Source organism: Homo sapiens, chromosome 1 (genome assembly GCF_000001405.40).
Source record: "Homo sapiens chromosome 1, GRCh38.p14 Primary Assembly".
In the NCBI taxonomy this organism is placed as follows: domain Eukaryota; kingdom Metazoa; phylum Chordata; class Mammalia; order Primates; family Hominidae; genus Homo; species Homo sapiens.
In genome coordinates this window covers 78,795,767-78,812,610 of record NC_000001.11, presented here as the reverse complement: position 1 = coordinate 78,812,610, position 16,844 = coordinate 78,795,767, and the positions used below count along the sequence as shown (strand labels likewise).

General features: G+C 35.8%; 1 annotated feature.

Moving 5' to 3' along the window:
- Positions 14,995–15,599: an enhancer, noted in NCBI's record as "OCT4-NANOG hESC enhancer chr1:79262697-79263301 (GRCh37/hg19 assembly coordinates)". NCBI's record gives its function as "activates a minimal SCP1, AML or CMV promoter by ChIP-STARR-seq in naive H9 embryonic stem cells {active_cell/tissue: H9 hESC(naive)}" and the evidence as "EXISTENCE:reporter gene assay evidence [ECO:0000049][PMID:30033119]".

Genomic DNA, 16,844 nt, shown 5'->3' with positions numbered 1-16,844 from the left:
GCACTATAGTATTCAGTGATAATAACTGCAGAAGTTCCCACAATGAGGTCTGAAAGAACCAAAAGGAAGATACTGGGTTCCAAGATCCTAGAATTTTGGAATAGAAGTGCCTGTGAGCTGGTGTTTAGTTTTCTGAGGGGGTAGTAATGTTCTGTTCTGACGGTGTCTCTAAGGGAGTGTCACAGGGCTGGTGTAGGGAACACAGACAGAAACTGGAAGCTGAGGCCACCAACTGCTGCTGGAGCAACACCAACAAGAACAGGGAAATATGAAGAAAGTATCTGTTTCTTTCTGCCTAACTTCCAGTCTCTCCCGAGTGCCTCTTTTTGTCAGAACTTAAAAGGAATCCAGAGTCCGGAAAGCTGATTTGCAGCATCTCAGCCCCGGAATCACTGAACCTGAGTAAACTTTTATTAAAATAAGATAAATAACTGGCTTGTGATCTTCTGCTTTGCCAACCTTGCTGATTTTTTTTTTTTTTTTATGATAGTAGAAGTGAAAGGTCTTGCTGGTGCATTTTGTAGAGATGGCTGCTAATACAGAACCTGGAGTCTTTGTTTCTCTCTTTCTTTTGAAACTTCAGTGACGTGACTGGAGCACCCCTTGCTCCCACTTCCTTGCCATTTTTCAAAGTTAAATTTAACTTATGGGAAAACAGAAGGAATCCCATGTATTAGTTTTCTATTGCTCTGTAGAAAATTATCACAAAACAAACTTAGTAGCTTGAAACAACATAAATGTATTATCTCATCTGTCTCACGGCCCAGGAGTCCAGATACAAGTTTACTTGGTCCTCTGCTCAGGATCTGACAAGGCTGAAATCATGTCACTCACTCTTTGATTCTTTCTGGGCTCCTAGGTCCTCTTCCAAGCTCAGCAGTTGTTGGCAGGCCTCAGTTCCTTATGATTATAGGACCCATGTTTCTATTTTCTTGGTAGCTGTTGACCAGGAACCACCTTCAGCTACCAGAGGCTGCCCCTCTCCATCAGCACTTCACAGAATAGCTGTTTGTTTTCTTCCTGGCCAGCAGGAAATTTCTCTGACTTCTTCCTCTAAGGACAGTAAAAGAAAGTCTCTCTCTTCTAAGTGTTCTGCTGGCTAGGTCAGGCCTACCCAGGATAATCTCCCTTATGCCATATAATGTTACACAGTCATGGAAGTGATGCATCATCATATTTATAGGTTCTACCCACTTTCAAGGGAAAGACATTACATAGGGACTGTACAACAAGAGGTGGAAATCTTGGGGGGGCCACCTTAACATCCTGCTTACCTCACCCCATTATGATCTCAGGCAAAGCCTTGTTCTCCAAGAAAGATTTTTTGTGGGACCCTATACTGTGACTAATTAAACAGTTACCCAATTTACTTTTTGTGTTGGTTCTTAATTGTTCAAAAATTCTTAGAGAAGAAAAGGCAAGTGGTTAGTTTAACTTGAATAAATGGGCCTCAAGTCTTTTTTTTTAATTATACTTTGAGTTTTAGGGTACATGGCACAACGTGCAGGTTAGTTACATATGTATACATGTGCCATGTTGGTGTGCTGCACCCAGCAACTCGTCATTTAACATTAGGTATATCTCCAAATGCTATCCCTCCCCCCACCCCCACCCCACAACAGGCCCCAGTGTGTGATGTCCCCTTTCCTGTGTCCATGTGTTCTCATTGTTCAATTCCCACCTATGAGTGAGAACATGCAGTGTTTGGTTTTTTGTCCTTGCGATAGTTTGCTGAGAATGATGGTTTCCAGCTTCATCCATGTCCCTGTAAAGGACATGAACTCATCATTTTTTATGGCTGCATAGTATTCCATGGTGTATATGTGCCACATTTTCTTAATCCAGTCTATCACTGTTGGACATTTGGGGTGGTTCCAAGTCTCTGCTATTGTGAATAGTGCCGCAATAAACATACGTGTGCATGTGTCTTTATAGCAGCATGATTTATAATCCTTTGGGTATATACCCAGTAAAGGGATTGCTGGGTCAAATGGTATTTCTAGTTCTAGATCCCTGAGGAATCACCACACTGACTTCCAAAATGGTTGAACTAGTTTACAGTCCCACCAACAGTGTAAAAGTGTTCCTATTTCTCCACATCCTCTCCAGCACCTGTTGTTTCCTAACTTTTTAATGATCACCATTCCAACTGGTGTGAGATGGTATCTCATTGCGGTTTTGATTTGCATTTCTCTGAGGGCCAGTGATGATGAGCATTTCTTCATTTGTCTTTTGGCTGCACAAATGTCTTCTTTTGAGAAGTATCTGTTCATATCCTTCACCCACTTTTTGATGGGGTTGTGTTTCTTTTTTTTTTTTTTCTTGTAAATTTGTTTGAGTTCATTGTAGATTCTGGATATTAGCCCTTTGTCAGATGAGTAGATTGCAAAAATGTTCTCCCATTCTGTAGGTTGCCTGTTCACTCTGATGGTAGTTTCTTTTGCTGTGCAGAAGCTCTTTAGTTTAATTAGATCGCATTTGTCAATTTTGTCTTTTGTTGCCATTGCTTTTGGTGTTTTAGACATGAAGTCCTTGCCCATGCCTATGTCCTGAACGGTATTGCCTAGGTTTTCTTCTAGGGTTTTTATGGTTTTAGTTCTAACATGTAAGTCTTTAATCCATCTTGAATTAATTTTTGTATAAGGTGTAAGGAAGGGATCCAGTTTCAGCTTTCTGCCTATGGCTAACCAGTTTTCCCAGCACCATTTATTAAATAGGGAATCCTTTCCCCATTTCTTGTTTTTGTCAGGTTTGTCAAAGATCAGATGGTTGACCAACCAAAAAAAGTCCAGGACCAGATGGATTCACAGCCGAATTCTACCAGAGGTACAAGGAGGATCTGGTACCATTCCTTCTGAAATTATTCCAATCAATAGAAAAAGAGGGAATCTCCCTAACTCATTTTATGAGGCCAGCATCATCCTGATACCAAAACTTGTCAGAGATACAACAAAAAAAGAGAATTTTAGACCAATATCCCTGATGAACATTGATGCAAAAATCCTCAATAAAATACTGGCAAACCGAATCCAGCAGCACATCAAAAAGCTTATCCACCATGATCAAGTGGGCTTCATCCCTGGGATGCAAAGCTAGTTCAACATATGCAAATCAATAAACATAATCCAGCATATAAACAAAACCAACGACAAAAACCATATGATTATCTCAATAGGTGCAGACAAACAGATGCAGACAAATAGATGCCTTTGACAAAATTCAACAGCCCTTCATGCTGAAAACTCTCAATAAATTAGGTATTGATGGGACATACCTCAAAATAATAAGAGCTATCTATGACAAACCCACAACCAACATCATACTGAATGGGCAAAAACTGAAAGCATTCCCTTTGAAAACTGTCACAAGACAGGGATGCCCTCTCTCACCACTCCTATTCAACATAGTGTTGGAAGTTCTGGCCAGGGCAATCAGGCAGGGGAAGGAAATAAAGGGTATTCAATTAGGAAAAGAGGAAGTCAAATTGTCCCTGTTTGCAGATGACATGATTGTATATCTAGAAGGCCCCAAGTCTTTATATTAAACCCCAGATTGGTCTTTCAGGACCCATATACCAGGCTGAGAGGTCAGAACTCCTAGTGTGACTAAGACTAAAGCTTTCTCTCCTGTAACCAAACTCTGACCTCTGTAAGATATCAAATATTATTAGTTTCCTCAGATGTAAGCCTGGGCAGTATTTACAAAAGAGGAGATTCACTTTAGTGCTTGTCAAGGACCTCAAATTATAGGAACAGAGAATTAAGAGAGAGAGAAAGAAATGTATGTCCGCGTTAGAACAGCCATCTTCAGTTATTTCTGAACGGGCAGGCAAGTTGACATTCTGAGGGCTTACTGTCACATATTGAGAGGCTAAGCATTTTGCTAGAACAAAAAACTTGTCACTGCAAAATAGGGAGTTTCAATGTATAGGCTTTTTATTCTCATTTGAAATTTTAAATTATGTATTTCTATTTTACAAAAATAATTCCTATTTATTGTAACCGGAGCCACTGATAAATACAACTTCAAGATGCATTATTCACATTTTATTTTGTGGATTTTTCCTCAAAGGGATATTCACCTGATAAACATTGAAATTGGCATATTGGAGTTGCATATGCAGTGGCTTTGACTTTGAAACACTGAAACAATATGCTTTAAAAAAATTAACATCTCCCAATCCCAACCATCTTCCTCATTTTTGCATTACATTCATATAACCCATTTTGCTAATATTGTTATAACAAATGGATGATTTGAACCCTTCCACACCCACCTTCCTTCTTTTTCATTTAAATGCATGCATACTTATACACCTATGTAAATTCTTTAAAACCAGATCATAGTATACACATTGCTCAACACTTGCTTTTTTCTCTTAATAAACTTCTCAATAACCCATTGACCAAAGAAGAAATCCCAATAAAAATTATAAAATATTTAGAATTGAATGATCAGGAAAATATAATACATCAAACCTTACCTTTCTGGCCACAGTAGTGATCAGAGGAAAACTTTTAACCTTAAAAGCATACATTACAAAAGAAGAAAGGTTAAAATTCAGTTACCTAAGTATCTATACCAGCACCTGGAAAAAGTATAGCAACTTAAACCCAAATATAGTAGATGAAGGAAATATTATAGGTAAGAGCAGCAATGAATACAATAGAAAACAAATGTAACCTGGAGAAAATGAACCAAGTCAGAAATCAGTTATTTAAATAGAGATAAAATAGATAAAAGAAAGACTGATCAAAAAGTAGAGAAAGTAAAAATTAACATTAGTAATGCCAATTGCAATGCTTACCAAGTGAATATCCCTGGAGGAAACATCCGCAGAATTAAATGTGAATAATGCATCGTGAAGTTGTATTTACAGCTACTATTCAAGTATTCAAGACAGAAATTATTCCAATGTTACACAAATGTTTCACAGTATGAAAAAGAAGGAAATACTCCCTAATATATAAAGTCAGCATGACCTTGATTCCAAACTTTAGAATAATATTATAAGAAAGGAAATGTATGGTCTAATTTCACTAATGAATGTAGATGTTTTTAAAAATCCAACAACAACACACCATTGCAATTTGGGTTTATTTAGGGATTCGAGTTTAGTATAACAGTTGGAGATCAATAAATGCAATTCATCCCAGTAATAGAGTAAGGAAAGAGAAAAAGCATAATTTCAATAGATGCAGAAAAAATTGTTTCATAACATTCAAAAATTCATTCATGAAATGAATGTATGTATATGTTTGTCTGTGTGTGTATGAATTAAATCTGTTGTATCTGTAGTATTACACAAGGATAGACAAATAGATCAAAGAAACAGGATAAAACATCCAGAAACAGACCCATATGTTTCTAATCATCTTATTTATTTTTTATTTGTATAAATTTATGGAGTACAAGTGTAATTTTGTTACATGTATAGATTGCACAGTGGTGATGTAAAGGCTTTTGGAGTATCCATCACTGAAATAACGTATATTGTATCCATTAAGCAATCTCTCATCATCCACCCCCCTCCTGCCTCCTCACCCTTCTGAGTCTTCATTGTCTATCATTCCACATGCTATGTCCATATGTACACATTATTTAACGCCTACTTGTAAGTGAGAACATGCTGATAACCTGATTTATGACACTAGTCAATGCCACATAATGGAGAAGATGGCCTTTTCAATGAATCACAATGTATCAATTGAAGAGTTACACAGAAAAAGAAAAAATCTCGGCTTTTTCCTCCCACCAGACACAAAAATCAAGTTCTATATGGATCATGGACTTAAATGTAGAAGTTCGGATAATAATAAAACTAACTTCAAGATTAAGATTACACAGAAGACCATCTTCGTGATGTTGGGGTATGCAAAAGTATATAAAAAGCACTATGTTAAAAAACCACTAACTATAAAAGATTGATATATTGGACTTCATTAAAATCAACACCATACGTTCATCAGGAAACACCATAAAGTGAAGATACTGTATATATGTGTACACATATAATGTGATGTCAATAAATTGAAACTCTTATACACTGTTGGTAACAATGTAAAATGGTACTACTCTATGGAAAATAGTATGGAGGTTTCTTAAAAAAATAAAAATAGAATTACATATGATCCAGAGATTCCACTGCTGGATACATATCCAAAAGAATTGAAATCAAGATCTCAAAAAGAAATCTTCACTCCCATGTTCCTTGTAGCATTCTTCACAACAGCCAAGATAGGAATACAATCCAAATCATAACTGACAGATGAACGGATAAAGAAAATGTGGTATAGACATACAATGGAACATTATATAGCCTTAAAAAGAAATAAATCCTTCCAAATGCAACTTTAATAAATCTGGAAGACATTATGCTAAGTGAAATAAACAAATCACAGACAGACAAATGTTACATATTTCCACTTTTATGGGGTACCTAAAATAGTCAAACTCATAGAAACAGAAGTGGTTGCCAGAGGCTGGTGGAGAGAGGTAATGGAGAACTGTTCAATGAGTGTAAAATTTCAATAATGTAAGAAGAATAACTTCTGGAGATCTGTTTTACAACATAGTGCCTGTATTAAACAGTGCTGTATGATGCACTTAAAAATGTGTTAACAGTAGATCTCATCCTAAGTGTTTTACTACAATTTAATACATAGGAAAAAAAACTTGAACAGGAACAAAGATACACAAATGACTAAAAGATGAAAATATATTCAGTATTATTTTTCATAAGCAAAATAGATTATTAAACTAATAAATTTTCATCTGAGTGGGGCTTCTGTGGTATTCATATATTCTGTATCTCAATCTGGGTAGTGGCTACAAAGTAGCTTCACTTGGTAAAAATGTATTAAACTCTACAATTAAGATTTTGCACTTTTCTGAATGCATGCTATACTCCGAAAAAAAGTTTTTAAAAGGTTATCTTGTGGTTACTACCATTAATAAGATTGTATTGTTCATTTGAAATTTGCTAAGAGAGTAAATCTTAAGTGTCTTCATCACAGACATACAGATAGACACACAAATGGTAACTATATGTGTTGATATATGTGACAATTAGAATGTGGTAATCATTCACAGTGTACACATACATCAAATAATCCTGTTGCATACTTTGAACATATACAATTTTTATCTGTCAATCATCCTCAGTAATGATGAGAAAACATTTTAAAAATAAAAAGTGACTACTCCTGCACATACTCAAATATGCTAAAAGGTAGGGATGTTTCAAACACCTTTTCTGTGGGAGGACACAGAACATGCATATGGTAAACTCATGCCCGCCTCTAAATATGGTAAATACACAGCCTCAACTTCTGGGTGTTTAGTTTACCAAGCTGAATTCAATTTCACAGATCATAGACTCTAAACAAGTAGCATAGGATGACTGGCATCCTGGTTAAATCCGGAAAAAAAAATTTTTTAATATTTTCTCTGTAACTCAACTCCCCTCAATACTCGGTATTGAATTAATTCAACTATTGAGATGCTGAAGAAATGTCAGTCCTTTAAGTGGAAGATAGACCAGGCCATACAGACACTGCAGGATCCCCGTATCTCACCAAGCATCCGCGCAAGATGCCTTTGGCTGAGACTAAACTGATTGAAAAATTGGGGAAAGCACATGTTTGGACTTTAATTCCTTTGAAATTTAATTTCAAAATTAGGTTTTTTGGAATCTAATTTCTTCCTGGAAATTGAGCACAAATAATTTATATTGTTCAAATTTAGCACGTTTTAATAGAACAGTGTACTATTTAGAGTATTTTGATGCTGTTATTTGGGTTTATTTCCTAATCTCTGGTGTTACATTAGACAATATAACCGGGATAATCTGATTTGAAAGAAAAGTGTTACATTTTGGCCAAAGGGACAGTGTGGTCTGAAATTAATCAATATATTACTCTAACCCTATTTCAGAGCCTGCCTATGGAGAAGCTTAATTGATAATTTCTGGCCCTAAGAGTATGCACCAAAAAGCAGATTTTGGGAATTGAACTATAATTCATGAAAGTTAGAAAAGGATTCACCTGATAAACCACTGAAAAACACCTTTGCAGAGAATTGATCACCCATGATTTGCTATTTAAGCATAAATCTGAATGGTAGAAGAGAATTTAAGAGCCATAAACATCTTTCTCTTCCCATCCCTATTCACCCACAAATGTGAATTCTTTATTTGATGAGTTGGAGTACAGTACCTTACTTTCTTCCACTTTGGCCTTACTTGCTTGATGATCAAGTTCATTTTCCTTAAGGTTTCTTTTTCCACATGGAAAAGTTCATTGGAGCATGGTTTTCTGCCCTGCAAGAAAGAGCTGAGATTATCTTGTTATTCTGCTTCAGATTAAGCTAGTGAAAACAGAGGGAAAGTCCATGCTATTATCTTCAATCCAGCTTTAATGGGTGGCTCTGTACTTTTGGTTAATAAATTGGTCCCTTTGGTCTTCTCACTGTAGGTAATAACAGACAAAAATGAGGGTCAAGTTATTACATTCTAAAGACCCCAAAGACTAAATTATTCTGGCTAAAACCCCTGTGAGATATGAGAATAAAATATCTTTTGGACTACCATTTTGCATAGGGTACTTTTTTAATTCCTTAAATCCGTGTTCATTTTGTTGTATCTCATTATTCTGATCCTGCGTTTAAAAAAATGTTATGGTTCCTGTGATTTCTTTGTACATTTCAAGCCAAAAATACTGTAATTTATCTTTTACTCATACTTTTCTTTGAAAATTACGTGACAAAATATTCAGATTCTTAATTTTCTTTTCACCCATTCTTTATGAAACATTTGATATTCTTTATTTCACCCTTCCTTTTGAAATACTCCCTTTCAAGGCATATGAGATACTGTATTCTCCTTATTATCTTCCTTTCTCTGACTCCTTTCTTTGAATATTTATCACTTGTCCTTCTTACTTATTTTAATTCTTAAATATGGGCTTTCCCTGAGTTTTCACCTTGGCCCACTTTTTGTCTTCCTCTTTAATTAAGTAATATGATTCACCATGAGCTCTATCAGGATGTCACCTAATTCTGCATTTCTATCCTGTTTTCTGTGCATCTCTACCAAAATGCCAATATATACTTCAATTAGTCCAAAATATTCTCTAATGAATTTTCTCCAGCATATCTTTCTTCACTGAAGTTGCTATCTCAATTATCAACACACTTACACCATTCCAAGCTGAAACATGAATTCCTCATTATTCCACCAGATCGCCTTATTTATCTCTTCACAAAACCTACCCCAGTGACATTAGCTTTGATTGATTCTCATTACATCTTACCTGAATTACAGAAATTGTTTTTCACTATTACTCCTGCCTTCATCATTTAGGAATGCAAGGTATCATATTGATTGTATTCAAATTTTTTATAGGTAGATTATATTGTCTGTGATTTCCAAGATACTTGTATAAAATGCAGTGTTTTGTCTGATAATGTTGAAAGCATTTCTATAATATGTTGAAGAGTAACATTTATTGTGGTCCTAAACTATAAGGTGATGAATTCTGTATTTGAGGTGTATTCATTTTGAATTTAAATTAATTAAATTTTCTTAGTTAAAATATTACTCTGTCTACCCCGTCATATAAAAATTATCATGACATCTCAACCTATTTTAGTGAAAGTATGCACATGACTGTTATCTTCTTTCTTTCTACTTAGTTCTACTACTATAGATGAAGGTAAACAAACTTACTTAAGCATTTCTTCATTGAAAACCTCATTGTCTTCCCAGTCTACTGTACCATTGTTACCTTTTTTTTTTTCTAGATTCTTCACTTTATAGTATCTTTGTTTTGTGGACCCAGATAATCAGTTTCTACAGTCAATAACTTACATGAAGATAAGTTATCACCAACTGTTTTATACTGGAAATTTTAACTTATCATAATGTCATTTCAATCATGAATAGAAAAGATAGATAATTCTTGATAATTGATGAGATAAAGATAGAAGCAAAAAGTTTCTATTTTTGTCTCATCAGTTCTCAAGAATTATCTATGTTTTCTATTCATGATTGAAAAGAGCATCCAGGACAATTGAGCTCAGTGATAACATTGTATATCAATGATAATTGCCAAGACTAAGCACAATTGTTTCCAAGTATATATCTCTAATAGCAGTCTATGGAATTGTTCCGAAGAGCAGCTGACCAATGTTATTTTTTTTACCACAAATATAAAAGAATTACAGGCAATCTTATACTAAAGAGTGTTTTGAAATCTAGTGAAACATAAAGCTAGCAGAACCATTTAAAAGCAAACCAAATTTTTTTTTGGCAGAGTGTAAACTATGTTTGTGTTTAACATGTATCAATGATTTGATTTTCAGTGTTAGCTTCTTGAACCTCTATTATTGAAAATAGATGTGGTAAAAAGTTGTTTTTTTCTTAATCAACATGGAACCCTTCCGACATAATTGTTTTTTGTTTTGTTTTGTTTTGTTTTGTTTTGTTTTGTTTTGTTTTGTTTGAGACGGAGTCTTGCACCGTTGCCCAGGCTGGAGTGCAGTGGTGCGATCTCCGCTCACTGCAAGCCCCGCCCCCCGGGTTCACGCCATTCTCCTGCCTCAGCCTCCGGAGTAGCTGGGACTACAGGTGCCCGCCACCACGCCCGGCTAATTTTTTGTACTTTCAGTAGAGACCGGGTTTCACCGTGTTAACCAGGAAGGTCTCGATATCCTGACCTCGTGATCCGCCCGCCTCAGCCTCCCAAAGTGCTGGGATTACAGGCGTGAGCCACTGCCCCCAGCCAAAAGTCTGTTTTATCAGAGACTAGGATTGCAACCCCTGCTTTTTTTTTCAATTCTACCTTCAATCCCATATGCTCATTTAGAATTAAGATGCATGTGATCTGATAAGCTATTATCCTAGCATAATCTTATTTCGAAAGTCATTTAAGTTTGGACCTTTTTAAATATTATTTCTTCTGAGGTTCAGTAACTAGAAAATTATCTCCTATCTTTCAATGATTAATACTCATTATAAATATTATGTACTAGTTATTGCATATATGTATATACACATATGCACATATATATAATTTCAGGATAATTTGAAGCTATGGCAAGTAAACTAGTTTTCTTGATTTAAGTTGTGGTATGTGTCTACTAAATCACCAATAATAAATGATCATGGAAAACAAATTAATATTCTCCTTTTCTACTATCTTTCTCTGAAAAACTTTTAGACTTACTATTGAGATAAGCTAATGTGTAGAAAATCTGTTAATAAATGAGCAGAACTCTATGTTAGAGGATTACGTAAGTTTCTTTTGTGGTTAAGAATGCTCCTTTTCTAAGACTAAACATAAGTGGACAAAATCTCCTGTAGATCCAAAGAGAAATTCTGCCTGACTCTAACTCAACACGGATAAAGACAGAAGCTGATTACTCTGTCATACAGAAAGTTGATGTCATTGAATCATTGCTCCACTGGATAATATTTGAAATAAAAAGTAAACAAAATCAAACAATAACTAGATAAACAAACAATAACTAGATAAATCAAAAGAGATTTGATTTAGGACCAAGAGTCCTTTGGGTGTTAAAATGCTTATCTCTCTTCTGACCCAATGTCATCCTGACCATGTGTCACAGTGACATGGAGATGAAAAAAATGGGCATCACACTCTATACACGTGAAATCTATTGACATATCCAGCTGCTGACTTATGTATTGTCATGATTTCCCGATGTTATTGTGTTCTACAAAATGTCAATTCTAGGTAGAAAAATAATATACAGTTACCATCCAAAAAGGTAAATCTTGTGCTATATTAAACCTATCAGAAAAAAGTGTATTTCTCTTCAAAACATACTTCCATAGAAGTAATGTTTTATCATTGTTTAATTGAAACATAGTGTATAGATTACTGTAATTAAATTTTAAGGAAGTAACCCTGATTTCAATATACCAACAAAAAATTTTAATGACCTTACTTTCAAATCACAAGATAAGCAATACCAAATTTTGTGGTTTAACTTTTTTAAAATCTCCTATATAAGCAAGTTCTCTATATTAGAATATTTGAGGACTAAATAAATCTTATTGGTGGTCTTGTCCAACTACTTCATATTATATATGGAAAAAGCAGTCTGTAAGCATTAATATGATTTAACCAAGATAACATCATTACAAGATGACAAAGTCAGAGCTAACATCCCAATCTCCTACTTTCTCATGTCAAAATCTTAATGCAAAATGACTGAGAGAGAAATAAAGACTGCTATAGTCTCATATTTTCATAATAGCAAAGGAATTACACAATATTGTTATGTTACAAGAGAAAATTCTGTAGAACATGAATATGATTAATTTTATTGTAGGCTATATTTTGGCCTTTTGACATTAAAAACTTCCCCACAAGACAAAATTACCTTTACTATGAAACTGAAGTGTAATGGTTTACCAGGGTACTCTGAGAGAAGCAGCCAAGAGAACAGCTGATGAACCTCATGGCAGATTGCAATCAGGAACATTCACTGTAGACAAGGCATTTATGTTAAAACACAAACCCCAAGCCAGATGAATACTGTTGCTCTTTGGGTTCTGACTTGATGATTACCAATACACTTTTCCAAAAATATTTTCTCAAACGATAAGTGAGTAAAATACATGCATGTAATTAGTGCTACAATTTATACTGAATTGGACTGTGCTGCATCATGGTCATGTAATTATTTCTTTAAAGTGTAAGCCCTCACTTAAAAATTTAGCTGCAATTTACATTGATGAGTGCTTTGGAGGATTTGGAAAAAATATATGGAATCTACAGAGAATACACAGAATTAGTTGTAATTAAAATTGTATGTCACCTTCATCCCCATACTGTGACAATCTATATACTAGCCACTTCATGAAAATGTTTTTGACTGTGTACTAATGTCACCAAATACTGAAAGAAAAAGAGACCATGTTAAAAGTGCTGATTTTTATTATGCAATACACTGGTGTAACAAACCTGCACATATACCACCTGAATCTATACTTTTTTAAAAGTGCCGATGCTTTTTAAGTAATAGTACAGAGACACAGAATACACTAATATTAGGAAATATAACTCAGCAACAAAGGATTCTAAAATGGAACATATATTTGGGGATGTGACATGAAGTCCTTTCCATTCTAATGATATGGTATTCAGATGTCAAAGTAAAAGGCAATGTCATTTGCCATAGCTGTCTGCTTGATCGTTTTGGTGAAAATTTGCTATGGTGGCTTGGAAGCAATTTTCCTAATCCCATCTTTGTTCCTAAACAACACATGAAAGTGGTATCACTAAGCCATAATTCAGTATCATGAATGGAGTCAGAGAAGTACCAGGAATATCTGCTGAATTTCAACAGCCATTAATGTGACTCTGTTACCTGAAGAGAATATGTTTGCAAGAAATGACACCAGTGTGAAAGCAGTATTTCTAAAGTGATAATTAAAATGCATTTTCATTTCATATCTAGGGGACTTTGCAATTTAAAGCATCCTGCATTCATTCTTACACATTTATGCTCTGTTCACTCTTATTTTTTCTGCAATGTTGCCAAGCATCAGATGCACATTAATGTATTAAAATGGGTGATTCACAAGTGTCAGCTTTCCTTATCACTAAGGAGGAGTATCATATTTTCACTCGCAAGTGTTAAAATAACACCTTAACCTCTGAACATCTCTCTTCAAGATGTTTTGTACTTTTATGGAACATTATTCTATAATGTTTCCAAAAAGGAACATTTTATTTGAGGGGAAAATTCATTGAAAATCCCATTTTTGGTTTTGTCTTTAGATATCTTATATTGAAAACAAATATTTGGAAAATATTTACAAAGTCTTGCTTAGTTTCTCAGAATTTGAAGAAAGTAAGAAGGGCAGAGTGTATAATGTCAAAGATGAAAAAGACACCAATTTTGCAGTCTAGTGTGTTATGCTGACACATGCCAACAAGAGTCATTTGTTGGCTTTTCAAACACTGCAGCAAACGGTTAGATCAAACAGGCCCTAATTAATCCTACAGCCATGTCCATAATGTTGCATATACTGCTCAATTGAAAATATTTCAGAACAAGCTCCAGGTTTTACTCACCCCTGAGGTTTTATATATATATATATGAAGAAATTAACATATATATATGTATATGAAGAAATTAACAAGTCATTTTTTCCCTGGAAACATAAGAAAAAGGGACTAGGATGTGGCTCTGGACGTGGAGTCTTCTGTCACTCATTCTATAGGGTAAATGTGGTATTTGTGCATGCCAATCATGGGTTGCTGGATATATTTTAGAGATACACACCCAGCTCATTAAGTCAAAGAGGATTAAGGCAAGACCACAGTATTCTAAATGAATCCAACATTGCTTTGCTTTCTTACACAGCCTCATATCTTGCTGCCATATTTTGTACTCAGGATTGTTAAGGATTAAACATTTTCAGTATCTAAAACTTGGCATTTGTGTCTTGCCTCAAAAATGAAGAATATATTTAATTCCACTAGAACTTACAGTATAAGATGGAGAGTGGCAAGAAATGAGGTGTTGGCAGGGCGCAGTGGCTCATGCCTGTAATCCTAGCACTTTGGGAGGCCAAGACAGGCAGATCACCTAAGGTTAGGAGTTCAAGATCAGCCTGGCCAACATGACGAAACCCCGTGTCTACTAAAAATATAAAAATTAGCCAAGTGTGGTGGCACATGCCTGTAATTACAGCTATTCAGTAGGCTGAGTCAGGAGAATTTCTTGAACCCGGGAGGCGGAGGTTGCAGTGAACCGAAATTGTGCCATTGCACTCCAGCCTGGGCAACAGAGTGAGACTCCTTCTCAAAAAAAAAAAAAAAAAAAAAGAGGTGTCACAGGTGGTCAATAGTCAAATCATGGAAGTCAATGAAACTGTGGTAAAACGAAAATCTTTACTATCTTCAACTGAAAGATGTTAAGTGTGGAGGCAATATCAGATTTGCATTTTAGAAAAGCCATTCTAGTTTCAGTGTAGAACAGAGATTTGCAAAAGCAAAGTTTATTGTCAGGGACATAAGCTACTGTGAGTATAGGTAAGCAAAATGGTATTTGGGTAAAAGGTTAATGAATACTGTCAAGTGGTCAAGCAATTGTGAGTAGCAGCATGGTGGTAACTCCTGGACTGGCTTGCCACATTTCCGTAGGTTCAGTTAGTAAAAGACAATGAATCTAAATGAATTTAGACAGTTTACTACTTACACAAAGTAAAGCAAAAGCAAGATCAGCACGGTGTCAGCTCCCTATGACCCTAATCCTATAGAATGACAAAGAACCTGATGGGCCAGGTGATAGCACAGTTAAGGCATTGCTCTGCTGTGGAGAAACCATCTCTAGGATACAGTAAGTCATGGTTTTATATCCTTCACCTGTATCATAAGTTGTGTGGGTAGGGGTGAGGTGGGAAATCCTATACACAATTAGGGAGGTGAATTAGGAACTTCCTTGTGGAAGCCTCCTACTAGACAGGGAGCCTCCCACACGTTAGGGAGGTGGAAGAAAAACTGTTGTGCTAGTTCTTTCTGAAACTGCCTGTCTTGCTATATTACAGGAAGGATCACAAGACGTTCACTGATACTTGGGTCATACTAAAAGGAAAAGAAGAGCAATTGAATTAGAAAATGTACAGAAAGCATAACAAACATTTAATCAAATAGGACATATAGATGGCAAATAAACACATGACATTAAGCATTAAATAATATTCAATATTGGCCGGGTGCCCTGGCTCACTCCTCTAATCCCAGCACTTTGGGAGGCCGAGGCGGGTGGATCACCTGAGGTCAGGAGTTTGTGACCAGCCTGGCCAATGTGGTAAAACACCGTCTCTATAAAAAATACAAAAAATTAGCCAGGCATGGTGGTGGGTTCCTGTAATCCCAGCTACTTGGGAGGCTGAGGCAGGAGAATCACTTGAGTCCAGGAGGCGGAGGTTGCAGTGAGCCGAGATGCACTCCAGCCTGGGGTAAAAGAGTGAGACTCTGTCTCAAAAATAATAACAACAATAATAATATCCAATATTACTACTCATTAAGAAAATGCATATTAAAACCACAGTGAAATATAATTGCACACCTATCAGAATTTGGCCGCTTTGAGCTCTTCATGTACGCAGTCAAGTGGGCAGAAAAATAAATACTGGTTCAAGTAATCAAAAGTTTGGGCCACTGCTATACAATGGGTAGGGTGTGCATATCTGGAAACATGGAATTCTTGGTGCTTTTGTCCCCAGTAATAATGACAAATGGGCAACTGCAGAAACCATGGTCCAACAAGGGCAATGTAAATAAGAGACTTTTACTTTTACCTCTGGGATAAGTGTCTGTATTATCCTATTAGGCAGGTATGCAAGACCAGCTTGGCTGAAAGAGTGGGAAATCTAAAATGAAAGGGAGAGGAGAGATTGTGACTATAATTAGAGCCTCAAGGCCAGTGGCAACAGTGGGGCTTACAGCACATTTTATTAACCCTCTTGCCTTAAGTTTTTTCAGAGTGTGGTTAACTTCCACATTGAAGAGAACTCTGTGACCTGTGAAACTCGTACCCCCTTTTCTCTAGGAAGAATCAAGATCATTACATTCTCACAAAATTGCTCACATGTGGAAATCCAGTAAAGTTTTGTAGCACCTCATGCCTTGGTGTCAACAGGAAAGCCATAGGACAGGAGGTGAGAGGCACTCAGCAAAAACTGAAGTGAGGCATTGCCAAGTTGAACTTTTTACAGCCAGATGGAACACTAGACTGGTGAATCCAAGAAAATCTGAGGTGGCAAATAAAACATGTGTTGAATATAGAATCAAAGAAGCATC